The sequence below is a fragment of the Homo sapiens genome, chromosome 3 (assembly GCF_000001405.40).
Source record: "Homo sapiens chromosome 3, GRCh38.p14 Primary Assembly".
In the NCBI taxonomy this organism is placed as follows: Eukaryota; Metazoa; Chordata; class Mammalia; order Primates; family Hominidae; genus Homo; species Homo sapiens.
In genome coordinates, this window is record NC_000003.12 from 154002899 (window position 1) to 154008826 (window position 5928).

Here is a 5928-nt window from a genome sequence, read left to right on the forward strand (position 1 = left end):
AATAAACCCTTTGGGCCATTTGAGGAAAACCATCCCATTTTTAAAGTAGTGATAAAATAGAGAGCACGATGCCTGGATACAACTGGGAGACTAACAGAAGAATATTTTATGTCGAACATGGTGAAACCCCATCTCTACTCAAAAAAAAAAAAATTAGTTGGGCGTGTTGGCATGCACCTGTAATCCCAGCTACTGGGGGCACTGAGGCAGGAGAATCTCTTGAACTCGGGAGGCGGATGTTGCAGTGAGCCGAGATCGCGCCATTGCACTCCAGCCCAGGCAGTGAAACTGTCTCAAAAAAAAACAAACAAAAAAAAAACGGAAGATAAAGCCCACCCTATGATTTGTGGAAATTTATTATAATTACTAAAAAAGACATAAAAAAGTTAAAGGACAATCCACATGAGAAAACTTAAGTCCCAACTAAAATAGTGCGTTAAAAAAAAATCAGGGGACCAATTTACGATGTTAAAGAGAAAAGACAATTTTTTTTTTTTTTACAAACTGTACATGAAATAGAACTGGAATGTCTCAGGCAACTCTAACTGTTTTTGAGTCTCTTATCTGTCTGCATTTTTTAACTTAAAATCAATTTTAAACATTATTATACAATGAAATAGAGCATCAGCATAGTCATGGCTTATCTGTGGTCAAATGAAAGGAATTTCAACCAGACCCCTTCTTAGGAGAAATTTCCATACCTGGAGATGGGTGCTTGGTTTAGGTACTGGAACATAGGGTATCAGACTTTCCACAGACCAAGACATTTGAAATAAACCAAATATTTCACCCTAAAAATTTTTTTTATGTATTTCAAGATGACTATTGAGAGGGCTGGAAATACAAGAATAGCTGAGAAGCTGTCTTTTGTGGGAGATTTGCATCTCTAGAGAAAGTCTGCACTGCTGCAGCCAGGCTCTATCTGAGGACCTTTCCTGGTTTGATCTGGGAAAGATTAACTGAGGTCTGAAAGAAACATTTATTTTGTTTCAGGGCTGCTTCCTGTGAGGTTTTGTCTGCATAACAAGACCACATTGGCTAGCCAGGCCTCCTTTTCTCTTCCTTCAATAACCTGTTCTGCCATGACCCAAACCTCTATTTTTTCTAAAATCTCAAGGTGATGTAAAGGTGTCAACAATCTTCCTTTTCTCTGAGATCTTATACTGAGATTTCATAAAGTCCTCCTGTACATGTTAATAAATTTGTATGCCTTTTCTCCTATTAAACTGCCTTTCGTGAGTTGATTTTCAGTGAACCTTTACAGAGTAAAGGAAAAGTTTTCCCTTGGTCCTGACACATTTTACAGGGAAGAGGAGAAATTAGACAAGCTTCTAGAAGACAGTGTGGGCCAGCCAAACAGGGGGAAACCTGGAAGAAATGCAATCACACTCACACAGAAAAATGTATTTGTTCCCAAAATTCACCTTCTTTCCCGCAGTCATAGCAGCAGTGGAGAGGAGTCTGGAACCATAGTTCTAGATACTCGCGCAGTGACTGGATTCCCGGAACATAGTTGGAGTGAGTATAACGAGAAAGTTTAAAAATCCAAAACTGCAGCTCAGCCCCTTCCCAGCTGAAACATAGCTAAGGTTTAAAAAAAAAAAAAAAAAAAAAAAAAAAAGGCAGCTGTACTAGATATTGGAAGTTGGGCTAGTCGCAGATGAACTCAATCTAGTTAAAGCTGTGGCCCAACCTGGAACAACTCAACTATAAAAGGAATCTGAGCAATCACCTTGTCTGAGAGATGAAACGCCTCTATTGCTCTTCTTATCACAGTGTCTGGAACACAAACAGCCAATAAGCAGAACTACAGATGACCCCATTACCTAAGGTGCAGATAGAAGTTTAAAACAATTATTGTTAATATATTAAATAATAATATAGTAGGTAAAGAGCATTTAAAGAGAGAAGAATCACATAGACTTCTACAACCAAAAAAAAATACTGTACTGTATTTTACATTTCAAAATGTACTGGATAAGATTAACAGCAAATTGCACACAAATAGTACATAAAAGACTAAGTGAACTTGAAGACAGGCCAATCGAAATTACATAAACTGTAGAAAAAAATAAAATAGTTTGTAAGGAGAGAATCATCTGCATTCTGTAAGATATATTTAAATAGTCTAACGCATGTATAATTAAAGTCACAGAAGAAAAAGGGAATAAAACAGAAAAATATTTGGAAGAAATTGTAGTATTTTGCACATTTGATGGGCAAAACCTCAAGTCACAGATTCAAGAAGCCCAACAAATCCTGAGCAAAATAAATATTTTAACAGAAACCACAACTACAAACGTCATAGTTAAATTGCTAAATATGAAAGATAAAGTTTTTAGAAGCAGCTACAGGAGAAAGTCACAGTGCATATAGAAAAACAATGATAAGAATAATCAATGACTTTTCATAAGAAACAATGGTAGCCAGAAGACAATAAAATGACCTCTATAAAGTACTGGCAGAAAAACTATTTGCCTAAAATTCCATATCCATCAAAAATATACGTTAAAAACCAAGGTGAAATAAAAGTATTTGCAGATAAAGGAAAGCTAAAATAATGTTTGCCAATACTTTCATTTTACAAGTACTTTAAAAAGTTATTTAATTTGAAGGAAATTAAGCTATATGAAAACTTGGAATTACAGGGAAGTGAAAAACAGTAGAAACAGTAAATATGAAGGCAAATTAAAAATACTGTCTTATTTAATTCTTTCAAAAATAATTGCTTAAAGTAAAAACTACAAGACTGCATTGTGGGGTTTATAATATAGATGGAAGAGTTATACATAATAAAACAAAGGAGAGGAGGGGTAAATGTAGGTTCTCAGATTGTGTGTGAAGTGGTATAATATTAATTCAATGTAGACTGTGTTAAAGATGCATATTGTAATACATCTTTATTATAATGTAACTATTTATTAAGGGTTCCTAGAGCAAGCATTAATACATTTAAAAGAGGTATAGCTAAAAAGCTAATAAAGGAAATAAAATGGAACTTTTAAAAGCATTAGATTAAAAGTACTTTAAAAAGTATGTAAAAGCACTTTTATAGTATTGAAAGTACTTTTAAAAGAAGTACACCTCTTACTGAGGATATCGTTTATAATTGGTTTATAAAACTAATTATTATCAGTCTTCCATCACTGCTGTAACGAATTACCTCAAAAACATAAGTGTATTATCTTACACTTCTGTACGTTGACACAGTTCTCACTGGGCTAAAATTAAGACGTCAGTAGGACTGCGTTCCTCTCTGAAGTTTATGGGAGAATTTGTTTTATTTTTCCATCTTCTAGAAACCACGCATCATTTCTTGGCTCTTGAGCCCCTTCCTTCATTTTCAAAGACAGCAACTGTCTGACCCTTTTTCTGGTCATCACATTTATCTCTGACTGACTACAGCTAGAAAAGTTTCTCTGTCTTTAAGGGTTTATGTGATTAGACTGGACCACCTTGATAATCTCCCCATATCAAGTCCTTAACCTTAATCACATCTACAAAAGTCTATTTTCCTCATAAGGTAGCATATTCCTAGGTTCTAAGGATTAGGATTAGGATCTGCACATCTTTGGGAGCCATTATTCTGCCTACCACAATTGGCAAGGTAGTAGGACACAAACACAGGCTCAAGTCTGGAAATAGAACTAAGCCAATAGCTGGCTTGGTGATTGGATCTGCAATATCACCAAAATTATATCAGTGTAGAGGCACCAAAATACATTAAAACACTTGGTTCTCACTGGGGACCTGGAGCCTATGTGGAAACAAAAAAAACACTTATTAGAGAGGAGCAAGCAGAGAAGGAGATAAAAGGGGGAAAGAAACTACCATTCAAAATGAGGCTAAAAATCAAAATACTAGGACCACATCTAAAGCTCTGAAAGACAACCAGAAAAAATATATAATCAGAATGTTAATATAATGAAGATAAAATTAATTTTATTAAAAAACTGACAAAGAATTTATAATCAATATTTACAGTATTTAAATTGACAAATGAATCATATCCATGAAAAAAGAATTAAAATCTAAGAAATTCAACTTGCAAAAATAAAATAAAAACATGGTATTACTTAAAAGAAGTAATTACATTTTTAAGTGACACAGAGGTGAAAGTGTGTCCAATGTAAATCTCACAGGAATATAATAAAAGCATGAAGGAAACAATGCAGAAGTAATATTTAAAGAGGTAACTATTCAAAAGAGTAAAATCATAATAGAACTGTAATTGTCAAGGATGAAGAGTCCTAAAAGCTGAAATAAATAACCAATTACCTTTGAAATGAACACAAATTAAACTCACAATGAGCACTGAAATTGCATTACTAAACTAGATAAGGGCAATACGAGAAAAGAAAATTATAGAATAATTACACTCATGAACACAGATGCAAAAATTCTTTTAAAATACAGCAAACAATAAAATTTAGCACTGTGTTTTTATTTATTTATTTTTTTAAGAAGTGTCAGGTAAGGGCATTCGGGATGTTGCAAGTCCTGATTACACAGAAACGTTAATCACATATTATGCGAACCCCAATCATCATGTTCTAATCTGCCTTGCAAAAGGAGGAACATGTAAGAATTCTCCCACCTGACGATCAGTACAATGTTCTTAAAAGGACATCATAAACAAATAGGGTTCACCCAAGGAGTGCAAAAATGAAGTGTCTTTAGGAAGTCTATTAAATTTAATATACCACATTAACAGAATAAAAGGGAAATAATATGTACAATTCTCAGTTGTTCACATATAGCAACTCAATAACAAAAATGATTTTGTAAAATGTAATTTGACTATATTAAAACAAAAAACAAAGCAAACCAACAAAACCACTAGCAAACAAAGAAGGGACTGGAACTTTTCTAATCTGATGTATTATTGGGGTCCAGTCAATAAGATAGATCCCATACCAAGTTGTCCTGTTTACAGAATTTAACATAAGGAACTAGTTACAGAGGTGTGGAGAGAGTGCAAAGTCCTAAAAGGTGACAGACATTAATGAAGCAGGAAGCTATAACATTCCTAATGTGAGGTACAAAAGGAGGAGGTAATGTAGGTAGATGCCAAGACCTAAGGCTACCAGGCAAGGGCTGGATGTATATAAAGACTCTGGCATGAACGAGGACCATGGAAAAAGGAACTGTCTCTAGGAGATGAAACTCCTGTCAGATACTACCTGAAGAAGCATCAAGAGTAGGAGAGAAACTTCCCAACTTCACTTTTTCTTCCATTCCTGTCTCCTAACAGCGCATTCTATTGGCCAAACATAGCAGAAGCCCAGTTGGGAGTGTCTGGGAGATGCAGTTTGCAAGAAAAAGGCAGAGATCTAAGAACAAACAGTAATGACCAACATAACTTGATAAAGGATATCTATCAACAAGCCAAACAAACTTTGAAGATATTTCTTTAACATTAGAAACAAGAAAAGAATATATTCATCATGACTTCCATTCAACAGCCTATTGGAAGACCTAGAAAAACAAATGAAACGATAGTAGTAACAGGAAAGGAATATAAAAAAACAGCACTTATATCCTGACAATATAATTGTCTACACAGAAAATCCAAGATAATTCTTAAACCTACCATTCAAATTAATGACAGAGGTAAGGATTGCTGAATATATAATAAAGTCAATGAACAAAAATAGGCCTTCTGGGGGTATGGCTAATGCATACAAAAAAAATAGAAAGAATAAATAAGACCTAGAATTTGCTAGCACAACAGGATGACTATACTAAAAATAATTGAATTGTTCTTCTTAAAATAACTAAAAGGATATTAATATAAATGCTTGAGGTGATGTATACCCATTTACCCTGATGTGATTATTACACATTGCATGCCTGCATCAAAATATCTCATGTAACCCATAAATATATATACCTACTATGTACCCACAAAAGATAAAATTTTTAAAA

General features: G+C 34.1%; 1 non-coding gene across 1 annotated transcript; it reads right to left on the reverse strand.

Moving 5' to 3' along the window:
- Positions 1 to 4468: 4468 nt before the first annotated feature.
- LOC124900552 (U8 small nucleolar RNA) lies at positions 4469 to 4604 on the reverse strand. Its single transcript, XR_007096300.1, has one exon. It is a non-coding gene; the product is annotated as a U8 small nucleolar RNA (small nucleolar RNA).
- Between the last annotated feature and the right edge of the window lie 1324 nt (positions 4605 to 5928).